Source organism: Homo sapiens, chromosome 11 (genome assembly GCF_000001405.40).
Source record: "Homo sapiens chromosome 11, GRCh38.p14 Primary Assembly".
NCBI lineage: Eukaryota > Metazoa > Chordata > Mammalia > Primates > Hominidae > Homo > Homo sapiens.
The window spans coordinates 126903577-126922197 of record NC_000011.10 but is presented as its reverse complement, the minus strand read 5'-3'; the positions used below and the strand labels follow the sequence as shown (position 1 = coordinate 126922197).

The window sequence follows — 18621 nt, the reverse complement described above, 5'->3', positions numbered from 1 at the left end:
AACAGAACCAAAAGATGATAGAGATAGATAGATAGATAGATAGATAGATAGATAGATAGATAGATAGATAGATAGACAGACAGATAGATAGATCGATAGATAGATATAGATAGATGATAGGAAGACAGGAAGATGGATGGATAGATAGATAGGAAGATAGATAGATAGGAAGATAGATAGGAAGATAGATGATAGATAGATAGATAGATAGATAGATAGATAGATAGATAGATATAGATATACAGATGATAGGAAGACAGGAAGGCGGATGGATAGATAGATAGGAAGATAGATAGATAGATAGGGAGATAGATGATAGATAGATAGATAGGATGACAGAAAGATAGATGATAGATAGATAATAGATAGGAAGGCAGGAAGATAGGTGGATGGATAGATAGGAAGATAGATAGATAGATAGATAGATAGATAGATAGATAGATAGATAGAAGACAGATATAGATAGATTGATAGATATAGATAGAAAGAAAAAGAAAGAAAGACAGACAGATAGATAGATTACAGATAGATAATAGATAGATAGGAACACAGGAAGATGGATGGATAGATAGGAAGATAGATAGATAGATAGATAGATAGATAGATAGATAGATAGAAGACAGATATAGATAGATTGATAGATATAGATAGAAAGAAAAAGAAAGACAGACAGACAGATAGATAGATTACAGATAGATAATAGATAGGAACACAGGAAGATGGATGGACAGATAGGTAGATAGATAGGAAGATAGATAGATAGATAGATAGATAGATAGATAGATAGATAGATAGATAGATAGATACAAGACAGGATGAGGGAATTTATCAGGTGAATTGGCTCACACAATTATGGAGGCTGAGAAGTCCCATGATAAACCTTCTGCAAGGTGGAGACCCAGGATAGCCGGCAATGTGGCTCAGTCCATGCCCAAGGTCATCAGAACCAGGGAAGCCAATGGTGTAACTCTCTGAAGGCCTGAGATCTGGGGGAGCCCCTGGTGCGAGTCCCAGAGTCTATAGGTTGGAGAACCTAGAGTGCTGACATCCAAGGGCAGGAGAAGAAGGGTGCCCCACCTCCAGGGGAGAGGGAGAGAGAATGTGCCCTTCCCCTGCCTTGTGGTTCTATCCAGGCCTTTAGCTGATTTGATGGTCTGTGCCCACAGGGGGCGAGAGAGATGCAAGTGCCAGTCTCTTCCTGAAACACTCACACAGACACACCCAGAAATAATGCTCTACCAGCTATCTGGGTATCGCATAATTCAGTCAAGTTGACACCTAACATTAACCATCACGGGGGCCAATCTGAGTGTTGAGGTAATTTTGTCTAGCAGCTCTCAGCATCCTGGAATCAGGCAGAGAAGGCCAATTGTAAAGTGACCTAGGCGCGGGGTTTTCTAGGAAGGTACGATGTTAGGACGAGGATGTAACTACAAGGTTGAAGTGATGGACCATGGAGTCTGAGCTGGTTGGGGAAAAAAGTGATTGCCCAGGGGTCTGTAAGACAGGGAGAAAGTAGAGAGACCAAAGAGGAAGTTTAAAATGAGATCAAAGAACATATCTGTCTTAAAACATATCCTGAGGAATAGCCAAGTAAGATCAGGAAAAATAGGATGCTATGGGCAGAAAATCAAATGTCTGAATTTATCCTTTAGGCAAACAGAGCACTGACACCACCTGGCAAGAAACAGTGAGCAGCAGTAGTATCTCTTCACATGAAGATTTCTTTAACTGGAATCCCAAATCCAGATCAAATGGACTAAATTCCACAGTGCAGTGGGGATCTTCACATTGAGGGAGATTTAACTCCACCTTTCGTTCATCGGTTCAATGATTTGATAGCATGATTATGGTGCTGAGCATTTATCTTTGTCTAATCGATAGATTTCTTGGGATCTAAAGATGCATCTTATGGTGATATAGACAAAAGAGGCATTTATGGAGTCAGCCATGGGAGAGCATATCAGATTGTGCAAGAGCAATAATATATGGAAGTGAGCAGCATGAGTTTTGGGGGCAGATTCTTAACCAAGCCACTCCCTGTCTGTTTGACTTTGGGAAAATTACTTCATCTTTGAAAACTTTCATCTGTACAATAAGAAGAATGACAAGTGACAAGTACGTCATGGGGTTGATATGAAGATTACATGATATAGTTAAATGATAAAATTAAATGCTATCATTATAAACACATTTAGCATCATATCAGGTATGTAGTCATTGTTCAATAAATGGCACACAATTAGCAGTAGCATTGTTACTGCTTAGTAGTATCCTCCTATTGTTTAGTAACAATATTGTTACTCTTAATACTGTAGTAGTGCAGTTACACTATTGTTACTGGAATATTCTGTATTACCCCAGGCCTGCTCCAGCAAATCCTGTCTGTCCTCTTTGGAACTCTTAACCTCTAAAACTTCTTTGCATGTAATCTGAAAGTCATGCACACCTATTTAGCCCCATGCTTACTGTGCACATATCAGGGAAAGGGTTTCTCTCCCAGACCACAAAGACCTCAACTGTGTGAGTTCAAGAGCTTCTGCACAACTGGTGTCACCAAAGTGAAGCATGTCCTTGGCCACTGCAGCTTAAGCAACCAGAATAGCCCAACCCCAGCTCTGTTATCTACTCCAGCCAGAGAATCAGGCTTGTCTCTGATGTGTTGCAGGCCTTGGGTGGTGACTGGACATCAAGGACCTGGTTATCAATTATTCTAATTGTTATTCCTCACTGCAGCCAGAACTACCAAGGTTTAAAGTAGTTTCCATCCTCCAGATCCGTAAACTTGCCCTTGGCTTGTTGAGCCAACCATGCTACTTTAACAGAAGTGATTTTAATTACTCAACTGGAACTACAGAAAGGAGGAAGTGAGGAGAGTATGTGGCTGTAATCAGTGTTTAACCAAGGGGCCCAGCTTGCTCCTGTCTTAGGGGCAAAGACATTAGTGATGGCTGCACCTACCACAGCGCTCAATCTCATCCACAACATGGGAGCATCCACACTGAGAAGTCAGGCTTATCGAAACCCACAAAAGCACTATGCCTTAATTCTACAAATTATGCATGTATTTATCACTTGAAAGGTATGAAAACCTAAGTTGATGTTAAAAAATCATATCTCCTTGGGTCTGTAGCAATACATCATATTATATATAATATAGTATTAATACACATAATAATACATATATACATATATATAATACAAATAATAATATAATATGATGTAACAATACATATCTTATAACATATGATGTTATAACATATGACGTTATAAAATCATATTTCCTTGGGTCTATGCAATATTGTTACATTGTTAAAATACATGTAACAATACATTCCCCATCTGGTGTCATAGGAATGTCTTGGCAGCTAGCTCCCCATTCTTTATAACATGCAGACATCAGGAAGGCCTTGCACACCCTGCAATTGATTACAATGGCTGCCTGGCATCCAATGCAGGAAAAGATTTTGAAAAGGGGAACTATCCTTGATTAGTAATGTCTGCCATGTCACAGAGATGAAGAATGGAATAGCCTTTCTATGTATTTGCAATCCCTTTCTTAGATTATAAACTCCTAGGAGGCAGAGAATGTATCATTTTAGTTCTCTGTGTAAATGTACCTAACCTATGTCATGAGTGGATGATGGTGAAGAATGTTTATGCAAAAACGTAATAATTCAGCTAGTTAATTAAAATCCGGTAACTGCCCTCCACCACAAGCTTGCTTATCACCCTGTCAGAGGAACAAGCAGCTTAGTTTACAAAGACTTCACTCCTTACGCTAAAACTACCTGGATGGTCTAAAGCACTGTCGTAAATATTCGGCACCAAATTGCCAAAATAAATGCAGGGGGAGGTACCATGGTGTGGCAAAGTCTTCTCATCTACTATTAAATCATGTTTATTTGCTTACTTGCAATTCACTGGATCTGCCCAGCATCTGGGGATGTTGCTGAGGCCCAAATGGACACACACATGGGAGGGAAGCACCATGATGAGCGAGTAGGCAATGAACATTTCTTTTGCCTCAGTAACATCCATCTCCCTCAAGTCGTGTGTCCTTCAACTGCCATACCGTGAGTCTCTGTCTTCCCTCTGAGAGGCATGCATATCATTATGGGCCAATCTCGTATTTCTGAGAATGCACAAAACCAGTTTCCCAGGCAGCAGTAAACATGCCAGAGATCAGTGTGGAGTCTTATGGAAACCCAGCTTGGAGAGATGAGTCACAGCATCTAAATTCTGCTCCATCACTGTAAGATGTGTCATCACACACCAAGTGAAATCGAGTTCAACAATTACCAAAGCGTGCAACTGGGGTGGAGGAGGGAACAGAAATGCCACTGTTTTTACCATCTCGTTCTTCAGAAACGCCACCTCAATTCTAAAGTCCATGCCTAAGGTTAGACAATGAGTGGAGTGGCAGAAAAGTATTGGTTGCCAATGGAAATAGTGGCAACCACCTCACTATTGGTTTCTAGTGTGAGTGGTTTCTAGTATATGGTTTCTAGTATGTGGTATACATATATGGTTTCTAGTATGAGTGGAAGCAACTCATACTAGAAACCAGATTGCACCAGGTGATCATTACTCACTCCCCACACAGCCTACAACTGAGCAGTGCTCTAAGAGAGGCAGGATAGGTGTGGAGGTGCTACGTGGTTTGGAAAGATTTTTGTTGTTTGCAGGTTTTTCCTTGTTTTTTTTTAATTTTTTTATTGTGGTAAAATATATACAACATGAAATTTGACATTTTAACCACTTTTAAGTATACGGTTTAGTGGCATTAACTATATTGACAATGTTGTGCAACCATCACCACTATTTATTTCCAGAACTTTTTCATCACTGTAAACAGAAATTCTGTACCCATTAAGCAATAACTCCCACTTCCTTCCGTCTCAGTCCTGATAACCTTTAATCTATTTTTTATTTTTATGAATTTGCCTATTCTGAATACTTCATATAAGTGGAATCGTACAATATATATCCTTCTGTGTCTGGTTCATTTGATTTAGCATAATATTTTCAAGGTGAATCTTTAACATACTGTGTATCAGAATGTTATTCCTTTTTATGGCTGAATGATATTCCATTGTGTGACTATATCATATTTTGTGTTTGCATTCATCTGTTAGACACGTGGGTGACTTCTACTTTTTGGTTATTATGAATACTGCTGCAATGAACATTGGTGTACAAGTTAAAAGAATTTACATGTATAGGGTGACCAACTGTCCCCGCAGAAACAGTCGTAGGAGAACCAAGCTGGGGGACATCCTGTCCCCTTTTGATTATGCCTTACAGCTGAAGAATCAGGCATGAAGAGAGTCTGGGACACTGGACTAGGCACATCACCCTTCTAACCCCTTTCTTTCTGCAGGTGCATATGTGAGAAGTTTGGACCATGTAACTAATGCTTTATCCAGCTCCAAAATCTCTTTTCGAAACCTAAATTCATACTTAGAAAGACTCCAGCTAACCTTCATTCTAAGTTAGAATATCCCCAGGTTGGAACTTCCTGTCCCGTGATCTACATTAGCAGGTTTTTTGTTTGTTTGCTTTTTAAGGGATAGCAAAGACTTCTGCAGTTAAATCACACAGCCTGGCTTTCTGTACCGATCAGTTGAGTTTGATACCCTAAACATAGTCTCGGAGGATGTTAAGAAGTGTCTTTCTCTCTCCCTCATATTCCTTCATTTTGCAGTTCGTAAACTATGGCCTTTCTGAGTTGTCCTCACAGTGTGGTCCCAGGGCCGGCAGTACTGACATCACCTGGGTACGTGTTAAAAATGCAGATTCTGGCGGCCCACCCTTGGCCTACAGAAGTGACACTTTGAGGATGGGGCTCAGCAATTTGTGTTTTAATAAATCCTTTGGGTGACTCTGATATATGCCTAACTCAACCTTCAGAAGCACTGGTCTATATGAAAACAGCACATTCTGAGACTCAGGTGATCTGAAACCTACTCCAGTTTTACCACTGACCAGCCATAAGATCTTAAGTTATTCCATATCTGGGCTCATCTGCTTTATAAATAATCTAAGGATCACCCTACCTTTGCTACTCATTCAGGGTATCATTAGAACGCTATTAATCACTAGGTGTGGAAGCACTGTGAAAGGCTGTATATGTTTTACATATGATTAGAATTTTATTCACTCCTTCATTCAACAAATATTATGCATCATCTACTATGTGCTGGAGACTGTTCTGTGGCTGGGGGAGGTTGCACGAAGAGAGCAGATGAGGCCCTGCTGTCATGAAGCCTATATACAGACTGGAACCTTTGTGAAGAATTTTTTTTACATTTGCAAATGGTTATGTGACCCATTTCAAGACTAGGTTCAGATCTGTTAAGAGAATAAGAGAATGTGAAATGCTCTTACCTAAAGGTAAGATCACTTTATGTCAGAAATAACAAAGAATGGGTTGACTACAATGTGACTAAAACAGTTATCAGCTACCAGGAGAGAACTTACAAAGAGATTTTGAAAATACAAAGCTGAGCCTTGGCCTGATGAGGGCAGGAGAGTTAGATGAGTGGTACTTTAGTGCTCATTCAGCTTCCAACACTACAGTTCCACTCTTCATGTGAGTCAATGATACTGTCTCGCTTGGACAAAACTGGATTCTACAGAGAGGCAAAGGAAGCCTATGATGCCTGAATTCATCTCTCAAATCACAGTTGACCACGTCTCTCCTGTCTGAGATCTGGGCCCGATGAGGATACACAAATCTTCATCAGCTTGATGGATCTCAGGACGAATGTTTAGAATTGGGGATTTAATCCTTAGCCACCATTATTTACAAGCAGCGAGCTTTAAAAAAAAAATACAGAGCTGAAATTCAATTTCCTAATTTTAATGAAAAGAAATGAAAAATATGCTGGGAGTGGGGGAAGAATGGCTCAGGAGAGTTATTGGACTTCAAAAACCCTCAAAAATCTTTTAATGATGTAAGTGTAAAGGAATCAGAAACATACTGATGAAATTCCCCTTGATATCCACATGGTGCTTACAGATTCTGAAGGGAAGATTCCAGCAATGAAATCTGCTGTTTTTTATCAAACCCAAAGTATTTGAGATGCCTGGTGAACTCCAATATGGTGTAATCATGTCTTTTTTCATAACAGTCTCTTCTCCCAAAGCCAGAAGGGGAAGGAAAGGCCTAATTAAAGAGCGTTGGTTTTTAAGGTCAGAGTCTTAGGGGGGTGTCCACTTGACATCATCTGCCAAGTTGTTTGTGGTGTTTACACTGACCCACAGATGTGCTGTGAATATACAACATTAAAATGTTAATTGTCTAATCTTGTGCTACTTTTCAACGTACATTTGGCAAGACTTGTTGCATGTTAAGTTCGAAAACAGTAAATTTCCAAGCTGTCATAATATTGAGGTCTCATGTGTGTTACTTGCTCTGCATAATTAATTGTAAAGTGATAATTTGTACACTAAGATATTTTCATTCAAACATGAAAGTGAAAGTCTCAGCATCTTTGCCTCCGGCAGACAGAAGAAAAAGTGGCGTATGCTACCCAGGCATTCTCAATGTCCCTCCTTTCATGAGATCAGCTGACAAGGTGAGCTGCAAATCTTCAGCTCAGGCTGTGACACCTGTCTGCTGTTAACTCTATCCAATGTCATCTGTCACTCACCCATTCTCCCATTCTTGTAGGCCATCCCAGCCAGTATATTCCTTTCCTCTGAACTCTAGTGTCCTCACAATCTGTATGGGCAAGGTATTCCAGGATTCTGCACTCTCTGTAATTCTTTCTGGTGCTTGCTGTGTTTATAAATTCTCTGAGAATGGAAACCATGTCTCATCATTCTTTATCTTCCAAATCACTTCATAGAGTCCTGGGAATAGAGTATTGCTTTGTATATACTTCTATGTTAGAATCCCAGTAACCTAGCCCAGGAAATGTTTGTTTCTCCCTCTTTCATGTCACAAGTGGGCTGTGGGTCAGCTGTGGCCCTACTCCACGTGCCCTTTCCTTTTAGGGCCCTGGCCACAGGCATAGCACCTATCCGAGACATTCCTTCCTCATGACAGAGGGCAGGAATTGGCCAAGCCAAATCAGACGCTTGCATTCAAACACCTGCTCACATGTGGCATCACATTCACTCATATTCCATTGGCCAAAGAAAGTCACAAAGCCAAGCAAGAGTCGATGCTGACCTGCAAATAGTTGGAAACAAAATATAGTCTACCGTAATGCTGCTGACTTGTTGTCCTTGAGGTGGAAAGGGTGACCTATTGTTCATGAGTATGGACAGATGTGCTGCCTAGCAATGAGCTTCCTCTGAAGCACACTGATGAGGTGTCAGCCACACAGACCCCTCCTCTGCTATGCGGTCCCCAGACTCCACCTGCACTCTACTCTGCCAGGCCTCTTCAAAGCTTCTTCACTCAGCTCTTATATGGTAGTCTCTTTCCAAGCAGACTTGAGAGGAGGCACTTTTTCTTATGGAAGGCATTCTTTGGGCTTCTGATAAGAGAAACTGACTCCAATTGACTAAAGCAATAAGCAATTTTGTTGACTAGCATAACCAGAAGGTCAGAGTTAGGTACCGCTTGATGAAGGCAATGGGTCTCTTTTTCTGTCTTTGTCTTAGCTCCTTCCTCTTCATGGACTGCGTTTTTCCCAGGCCAGCCTCCTTCATGGCCATCAGATAGCTGCCAGCTGCAAGCTGGGCAAGACACTCTGCGTTTACAGTCAGTCGGAGAAACTGTGTGGCTTTCCATCCTCTCTCTTAAGAGTGAGATAATTGGTCAGACACCCTTCAGCAATCCTCCCTTGCATTTCATTAGTCTAAAAAAGGTCACTAGCCCCATTCTGAACTGAATAGTGATGAGGAGGTTAAATAGCCCTGAGAACAATGGACTCATCCAGTGAGCTGCTCATTTCCCTAAATAATACTGCCACTATGGAAGAGAAATGAAATGGATTTTGAGGAGTGACTGCCTTCCCCAACCATATTTGGAAAACCTTGTGTCACCTGCAATCACTATTGACCCTAACTATCTCATGGAGAAAGGACACTGAAAGATGGATGATGTGTGCTCAACTGTCCAGCCTCAGCTCCAGGTGTTACAGAACAGCAGCGTTCTAATCTTTGGGTAGTTAAGGTCAGAGGAACATTCTACATTTCACTTGCCTAACAGCCACTTCTGGTAACTACGTGTGCTCAGCTGAGTCTCTTCAAGGGATCTCGTGGTTCCTTAAGGCATTTCCTCTCTTGACTACTTAGACTGATGGGTGCACCCCAGGTGTCACCACTCTGCATGCCCTCCTCTGTCATCACGATAAAGCGTCATTGGTAATTATGATCATGAATGGCCAGTAGTGGCCAAGAAATTTCATCACTAGGTTCCATTATCACGCCAAGTTCCTCTTCGCTATACTTCACCTGCCATGCCAGCAGGAATGGAAGGAGAGGCTGGTAATTAGGCTGATACAGCAGGATGCTCTGTTGTGCCTCACATTTGAAACAAAGACCCCAGAAACATGATGAACAGCAGGGGCAGGAGCCCCATTGCTACCCAGCATGGCCTCTTGAAGGAAGGTGAAGTTCTTCTCCCTTCTCCTGTTCATCAGGATCGTATTCCAGATGAATAGATAAGATGAGTTATTTCCATCTCACAGCTCATGGTGGGTTGCTTGTTTTGTAGGTGAGTGTGATATGTTCTTGGTTGATGCCTACTGTGAGGGGTGCTTAGGACTGGAGCCATCGGAAGTGCTGAACCAGCTGGAGGAATGTGAGATGGAAAGGGGTAATTAGTGTGGAGAGAAGTGAAGAATTACCACAAAAGGTGAGAGACATGGCCCAGGGAGGTGAAGACAGGAGAGGGAGCTGAGGGAGGACCAGCCCAGGGCACATGTGGGCAGCACCTGCAGGTCCTCAGAGCCACTCTCGGCCGGTTTAGCCTGCTTGAAGGTGAAGGGTATCTGCACATCTCCAGGGAGATGACCATGCTATTGATGGCTTGTGCTTTCATTCCACTTTGTCCTTCTGAAAAGAGGGTTGGTCACTGCGCTGTCCTTGCCAGAGGCTTGATTCACGACATCTAGGCTTCCAGACTGCCAGGGGTCTGAAGGACGATTTGGGGCTCTCCATGAGTATGTGGGCTGGCAGCTTCTCTGCAGGGCTTCCTTCCCAGTCTCTACTGAGTCATCCCAGTTGCCGTTCTTTTTTTTTTTTTTTTTTTTTGAGACAGAGTCTCGCTCTGTCGCCCAGGCTGGAGTGCAGTGGTGCCATCTCGGCTCACTGCAAGCTCTGCCTCCCGGGTTCACCCCATTCTCCTGCCTCAGCCTCCCGAGTAGCTGGGACTACAGGCACCCGCCACCGCGCCCGGCTAATTTTTTGGATTTTTAGTAGAGACAGGGTTTCACCGTGTTAGCCAGGATGGTCTCGATCTCCTGACCTCGTCATCCGCCCACCTCAGCCTCCCAAAGTGCTGGGATTACAGGCGTGAGCCACCGTGCCCGGATGCCGTTCTTATGGACACATCCCACCATCTGCTGGGGCCCAGAAGAGGAAAGTCCTTCCTGACTGTCCTTCTCTTCCTTATCACCTCCTGCCACTAACACTTCCTGAGGGGTGGTCCACAGGTCAGATCATTACTGCTGCGGGGAGAGAGGAGGGGCACAGCAGAAATCTGGGCTGAGCTTTCCTGCCCTGTTGGTCCGTGGCCAGTGAGGCCGTGAAGGTGATTTAATGGCTGGGCAGCTTCGATTCTAGAGTCCTGCTCTGTCTCTGCAGCAGAGTACACATTGGATTGGGCCATATGGAGACTTCACCAGCAGATGCACTGGCGGCTTCCCTCTGTCTGCAGAATCTCCATTAGGTTTTTTTAATTAGACAAATGTCAGTGTTTTATTCAGGGTGGGAAACTGTTTTCTAAGTTTGACAACAATGCCATTTTCAAAGAAGAGTCTCAGCATGGTGGCTGCTTTTTATTTGCTGGTCTCCTTTCTGCCCATGTCTCCTACTTGGAGGGGCCATGTCTAGAAATATGCAGTCATCATTGTCATCACCAGCACCACCCTCTCTTTCTCTCTGTGTCATCCCTTGAACCTTGGGGCTGCTTCTTGCTTCCCTCCTGCTCTCTTCTGTGCCAACCCTTTCTGTTCATGGTGACTTTCTCCTCCACAGAGGATAAAATGCAGAAAGAGTCCCTGTGGCCCAGGGCAGGTGCAGAGGGTGTTATAAAGCCCACCTTTCCTTCCCCCGGCAATGAGAACATCTGTCTTTCAGTCTTGCTCACTGCTAAGCCCAGGGGTCTAGTCCAGCATCACTGCTGGGCCTTCCTGCTGCTGACATCATCTGAGAGCAAGGATACCTGGCAGTCCCTGCCATCAGAGATGTTTCCCCTAGCAGGTGAATGGAGCCTGACACATGGGAGTTTACTGCATTATATCAGAATAAAGAGGGACATCTTCCAGCTAACACATTCATGTAGGTTAGTTTGTTGGGGTTTGAACCCTAGTCCAGCTGCCTTATTGGTTATGTGATGTGGAGTCCTAAAGGGGTGGAGAAACTTGCCCGATTTCCTCATCCATATGATGCGTATACACTATTATTTACCTCGTGGGATTCTTGTAAGAATTTAGTGAGTTAGTTTATGAAAATCCCTCAACACGGAGCCTGGACCTTAGTAAGCTCTTAGCAAATAGTAGCCAGCCTCTTCACTGGAAATACCCACTAACTCATGAGTCTGACCTTTGTCCTCAAATCCTTGTTATGCTCCTCTTGGCTCATACAGACAACTACAAAGTCCTAATCAGAAGCTTCAAGATCTTTTCTACCCACTAGGCCCCAACCCCAAAAAGGCCTTAAGACCACCCCCAGTGATCCCTTCTCTCCAGCCAGCCCACTGTACCTTGGCTGCCTCTTCCTGCATCTGAAAGCCTTTTTATAAAGGTATGTGTATCCATCAAAGGCTGCCTCCCTTCCACTGCTTGAGCACTCAAAGTCCACCTCCTCCAGGAAGTCCTGAGATTAGTCTTTTCAAAGCCCTGGACCTTCTGGGAGTAGAAGATTGAGCTGTGTGTATAGTCCAAGAGAATCAAAACACTGTAAAGAAAAAAATAGCTGGTGATGGACTCAGGGCCAAGTTGGGTTTGTTGCTTTGAGTTCAGATAGACAATTTAGGCTGATTTTAATGACTCTGAAATGTTTTATCTTTTACAACCCTGGAACTGCTGCTCTGCAACCTTAACAAATTGCCCGCTTTCCATCCCTCGCTCCCTGTCATCTTCAGTTAATACAGGGTCCATTAGGAGTTGAGAAACTTATTATTGCAATAAAAAAATATCATATCCATATCACAGACCATATATCTGAATCTTGCATAACACCCTCCCAGGGATTAATCCATATTTTAACCAAGTTTTTTATAATGGCGGTGCTTCAGCCTCATGCACAACTGTTTTCATGAAAGCTGAGACAATGATGGCAAAAGGTCATCTCTGAGGTCAAGATCCTGCCTCCCCTAGGGTTATGGAGAGCAAAGGACATTTCTCCCTTCTTTGGTAGGCTTCCCAAGAGACTCCTGGCCTGCTGAAAGGGTGGAGGACACCAGAGACAGGTGCTGTTGCGACTCCATTCAGCAGAGCCCTTTCTCGGTTGTTAATTACCCACGGGGTGTATTGTGGGCGGTGTATCTCAACTCAGAGCACTCTCTCATCCTCAGAGCCATGCCCTGAGAGTCGGCGCTTAGCACGTGCTGAAGGAATAGGCATGGCTCTCACTCTGTGGGTATGCTGGGAGCTGGGCACCGTGCCTGAGGTGGAGCTACAGATATGCAAGGATGAGTGCAATGCGTCCTTGCTCTCTTGCCTTGAGGAACTCTCAGGCTAGTGAAGAAGTCCACAGTTGATCCCAGGGCCACACACTTATAATGTAAAGAGTCCCAGGCCGGAGCCTGGGTTTTAGTGCCACACCTCCCATGAACTCCTCCCTCTCCGACCCCATTCCTTCCCTGCCTGAGAAGAGAAATTAGGTCTCCCACACTTCATGTTCATGGTGACCTATGTCTTCATGGTGGTCATTCAGATTGCAATTACAGTTGGCCCCCTGTGTCGCCTGGGTTCTGCACCTTCAGAGATGATTCAACCAAGTGAATAGACAATATTTGAAAAATACAAATCAACAATAAAAAATAACACAAATTTAACATAACAACTTTAAATAATATAACAAATTTAAGTAACTGTTTACATAGCATATATTTTTATTATGTATTATAAGTAATTAGATATTTAAAGTGTATGTGCTTAGGTTATATGCAAATACTACACTACTTTATATCAGAGACTCGAGCGTCCGCAGATTGTGATACCCAAGAGGATCCAGGAACCAATCCTCCTTGAATAACGAGGGATGACTGCATATATTTGCCTGAGTCTTTGTTCGACATTTATCTTCCTACCTAGACTATAGGCCCCATAAAAGCAGAAACTATTATATTTAATCTACTGTGGAATCCCCAGTTTCTGGTGTATGGGAAGCCCTTTAATACTTGTTAAATGAATGAATTTGTGATTTTGAGCAAATCACTTACCTTTTGTGACTTTCAGTTTTCTTGATAATACCAATAGTAATAGCCAGTGTTTCTAGAACGTTTACCCTATGCCCTGCCCTGTTCTAGGTATTTTATATAATAATTACAATTAACCTTTACAACAACCCTGTGAAGAAGTCACTATTATTGTCCCCACATTGCATATGAGAAAACCAGAGCACAGAGAGGTTAAAGTGACTTGCCCAAAGTCACACAGCTGGTCAGAGATGGAGGCCAGTTTTGAACACAAGCAGTCCTGCTTCGGAGTCCTTGCTTTGGTTGGACGAAATGATCATAAAGATCTCTTAGTCTTGGCTGGACAAAATGATCATAAAAATCTCTTAGTCTTGGCATCCATGAATGTCAAAGCAACCGATTGGAATATCCACCTAGATTTATTTATTTAATAAATATTTATCAAGGGTCTATTATGTGCCTAGGCACTGAAAATACGGCAGTAAACAAAACAGATATTTGCCTTCATAGGACTTGCATTCTGACGGGAGGGGGCAGGATCATAAACAACATACATAACAGATTTATATGTTAGGTACTGATAAGGGCTATGGAGGAAAAGAAAGCAGGGAAGAATTTGGGGGGTGTCTTTTGGGTGGCGGTGTGACATCACAGGTGGTCAAGAAAGCCTTTGTTGAAAAGGTGATGTATGAGTAAAGATCTGAAGAAAGTGAGGAGCAAGCCACGCAGATCCCAGGGGAAGAGCATTCCAGGCAGAGGGTGAGCAGATGCCAAGACCCTCAGGAGGAAAGGGCCTGGACTTGATGGGGGAACTCAAAAGTTCAGTGTGGTTGGGGCAAAATGAGCCAGAGGGGAGAATGGGAGGAGATGAGGTTGCAGGGCAGCAGGGGCCCGATCCTGCTGACTTCGTGTCCATCTCGTCACTTCAGTCTCATTTCCTGTCCTCAAGGCCTGTCTATCCCATTAGACTAGGGGAAAAGATGCATTGATCTTTATAGCTCTAGACTTTAGCTCCAAACCTTGCCATAGTTGGTACTCAGAACGCTTTTTGAGCAAATGGTAGAAGAGCTCCAATACTTTAAAAAGAATGTGGTTGCCGAAGTTCTCTTATGCTTCTCAACCTGTCCCTCCAGCAAAAAGTCTCTTTGCCTGGCCTGGCGTCTGCAAGCCATCTTTTTCTTATAGCTCACTGTGTTGTCTGAGGTCACTGTGTTGTGTGCCATTGGAAATGACCCTGCCTTTCAATTTCCTCTCTATCGCAGCCTTCACAAAGTGCTGGGGAAACTATGATATTCTTTGATGAAAATACTCATAACTATATTTGACACAGATCATGATCTGATAAAATGCAGACCCCTCCCTCGCCTAGGTTCCACATCGTGTTCAGGGCATCTTCACAGTGGACTTGGGAGGCACCTGGAGCTCGGGTTCACTCACCTTATCCAATCAGTGGGGGTCTAGGGAAAGAGTTCAAGGGACATTTCCAAATGGAAGGTAGGTAGTTTCATATCTTAACCAAGTCTTTAATTCAAAATTTAGATATTCTGACAATGGTACCACTGGGATCCTTTATTGCCTGATTCATTTATGGTGTGGTGGGCCCCATGAGGAATGGGTTGACATGCATGAGAGCAGTGTCCTTGTACAACAAAAGGAAACTAAGGATTCCTTCCTAGGTCTGCTTCCCTCCTGTCTTTCAATATCTAAACAATGAACCTTTCTAAATGCTTTTTCTTTATCAAATGGAATTACACAGAAAAAGAAAATGTAGGGCTCAGCCAAGCCACTCTGACTTCCCTTCATGGACCTCAGAAAGGCAAAGCCATCCTTTCAGGAGGCAGAGCAGACGTCCCAGGAAGAAGCCACAGGCAGCCTTGCACTGTGGGCTACAGAGGAGGTGCTGGGGATCCGAGTGCAGTGCAGACTTTCAGGATCTAATTTGCCTTATAATGCGTGCAGTTCACATCTTCTGGGTTTAATGCTAGTCCTGATTTTTGGTGAATATAATGTTCCCATACATGCTAAAAAAAACAGTGAAAGGAAAGGAGATCTGAAGCAAAAACAAAAACAAAAAACAACGCTGTTTTTCATGGCAGGGGGGTCCCTATCCACTTCTCTGCTGGAGGGAGATTAAAGTTACTGGGCAGAGGCAGCAATCAAATAAGGTTCAAGGTTCTTGCCATCTGGTAGGGGCTGTAACATGTCTCTTTGGGAGTAACCTTGCTGCTAATACTTCCGTTCCTTAAGCCTCAGTTTCCCTCTTTTGATAAGACTGATCATTCCAGTTCTCCCAATACCTCCCTACCTTTTAATGCTTATTTTTAAGAAAGCAAACAACGAAAAGTGGCTCATCAGTCACACAAGGCGTGAGGTTTGGATTTCCGAGACTGGGAGCCATGTCTTTGAACATCTTGCTTCTTGAGCAGTCAGCCCGCAGAAAGGGAGCTGTCAGAAAGTCTTCCAGGGAGCTGGAGTGTACAGAGAGAAAAGAGAGCCTATCTCTGAGTGAGGGAATTCAGAGAGGGGCAGGATGGGCTGGAGTGTGCTCCTGCTGCAGTGTGATTGGAGCCTGGGGCTCTGCACACCTCCCGGCCTTGAAGTCGGCCTGGCATTTTGTTCTACAAAGCATCTGCTTCAGCAGATAAAATGATTTTTGACCTGGAGACCTGAACTGACAATTTTGTAGACAAACCCCAAACAGAATGGCTCTGCCTGTCAGCCTGTTTCATCTCCTCCGTGCATCCTCACTTAGCTGTGCTGCACCAGGAATTTTGCATGGCTGGGTGCGGACAAAGGAACCCCTGAAGTGCTTTGGGGAGTCATGTCCCCACTGGAGGCTCTCCCCAGTGTGCTCGTTAGGCATCCGCCCGAACTGGCAGCGGCAGATAGGGCTCTGTGTTGTCAGGCTGTGGCGGTACACAACAATTCCATCTCACATAGGTCTCTGGTGTTCTGTTAAGGGTTCATGGCCAGACAGATTGGAGAATGGAGACATGCCATTTAGCACACCGAATCACACACCAAGCCACTGTGCAGGATGAGGCTTGCAATGCTCTTGTGGGTCACAAGCGGGACAGGTTCGATAAGGCCCAAAATGAAAGATCCCTCTCCCCACCCTCTGACCCCTGAGCGATGAACAGTAAATGCCACAAATTGCCTTATGGGCTTAGACTCTTAATGAGAAAGACATTATGGAAGGACCTACCTAATGTGTAGCCCTCTGCCAAGTTGATGCATTGCAATTATTTAGGGCTCTTTACCCCAGGATAGCGTTGTGTAAATGAGAAAAGAAGGCAGTTGAAGGTTAGAAGTTTCCCATCAACTCCCAGGAATCCTGTATTCCTGGTGCAGCCCCTCAGCTTGCAGCTCCCCCCGGAAGCATCTCCTTCACTAAAAAATATCACCCACCCTCCCCTTGCCATGGAAGGTGACTTATTGGAAGTAAGCCAAGCCCTGCCTTCAAGTAGGGAAGCCATGGAATCAAGCCCCGTTCCTCCTCTGCAAGCTGAGCTGTGTGGTATGAGAACCTTCTGTTGATGACACACAGCTGTCTTCATAGACACCAACCATCATGTCGCCCTTTTTGCCAAACCAGGGAATGACCCAGTCTCTTGAAATGTCTCTCCCCTCTGAAGCATTGCCACAAATACCCATCTGAAGATGAATTTTTTTACACACTATTTCTGTATCATCATCATCATCATCATCATCATCCCCATCATGGATAGTCAGTTATTTATTATATACTTAGCTATACTTGGAGTTGTCCTAGATACCATCAAAGAACATTTTTACAGTTTCTCTTCTCTGGGATCTTAATGTCTCTGAGGAATAGCATTGATGCTTACAGACGCAAAGAGAATGCTACAAATATTGAGTGAACATAGGATAAAAATAGACGAGACAAGATTAAATATGTACATTATGCATACTTCCTCCTTTGACCCCCTACCCCCAAGCTATAGCTGTGCTAAACTGTAGCAGGAGACAGATTGTTCTTGGTATAAGTAAGAACAGCCTTGTAAGACAGATTATTTCTTTTCCTGATGTCAAAAACATGTATTTAAAGTCATTAGTAGGAAGCCATCAGCAGCTGAGCTAAGAAGTGTGGCTAAGAAGTTTTAAGGAAATGTTATTAGGAATGACTTCTAATTCATAAAAGATTTTCTGACCAAATATCTGCTATGTTAACATTGCTTTGGAGCAGGTTCCTTTTATCAGTTGCACTATCCCCACTAGTGATCAGTCTTATTGCAGTCAGAGATGCAGTAAACATCAAGACCCAATTTAACTAGCAATGGCAAAATAGCAAATAATCATGAGTTTGGGGGCTTCGGGCCATAAAATACAGACATTTACCTTGAATGTAGATTTAAACCATCTATATGTTGTGCTAAATGAAACTTGGAATATCTCATCTGAAGTTCGGTGTCCAAATGATAAAAATAGTCCTGAAAACTTTACCTGTGTGTTAAAAAGAGGCTTCAAAGGGTATGGTTCTCTTAGAGTGAGGCAGTTTTTTCTATGCCATCTTCATAAAATCATAGCAATTTAGAGTTGGAAAGGACCTTCAGGGTCTTGTAATCTGGCCTCCTCCCAGTGCAGAAATCCCTGCTTGAGAATTACCTCCAGGCCAGAGTTGAGATGTGCTATCTACCAAGGGGATAGCTATTATAGGGTCACCTTGTAAAGAACTGGTTCTGTTCCAGGGTGAACCAAGGGATTACTTTCATTGTTGGGCACCTGAAGCTAATGCAAGCCTACCAAGCAAGGTACCCAAATAATCCAGTCTCCCTAGAGGGGGTAGCAATAGAACTTCTAATATATTAAATTGCCTTTGATTTAGGACCGTCTTCTTATTTTTTCCACCAGCAACATCCATTGTTATGTTGACCTATTAAGGTGATTACAGAAAGCGTTGGTGGCCCAACATATCTCATTTTCATCATTGTCAGCCTCCTGCAACTGCAAGCTTCTGAACATGTCATAAATCCAATAGACCAAATGTCTCCAGGAGCTCAGCAAAGAGGCTACAGCTTTTTTGTTTCCACTTAGGCCAGGGTTATGGGTAGTAA

General features: G+C 43.4%; 1 protein-coding gene and 1 long non-coding RNA gene across 21 annotated transcripts in view, besides 1 other annotated feature; both read left to right on the top strand.

Moving 5' to 3' along the window:
* Positions 1-18621, top strand: part of KIRREL3 (kirre like nephrin family adhesion molecule 3) — a 580037-nt gene that overhangs the window by 81197 nt on the left and 480219 nt on the right. The gene's annotated exons all lie outside the window — the stretch shown is intronic.
* The window catches only part of LOC105369559 (uncharacterized), an 88316-nt gene that overhangs the window by 18441 nt on the left and 51254 nt on the right, over positions 1-18621 (top strand). The window lies entirely within an intron of this gene.
* Positions 4385-4434: an enhancer, noted in NCBI's record as "active region_5712". NCBI's record gives its function as "activates an Ori minimal core promoter by ATAC-STARR-seq in GM12878 lymphoblastoid cells {active_cell/tissue: GM12878}" and the evidence as "EXISTENCE:reporter gene assay evidence [ECO:0000049][PMID:35858748]".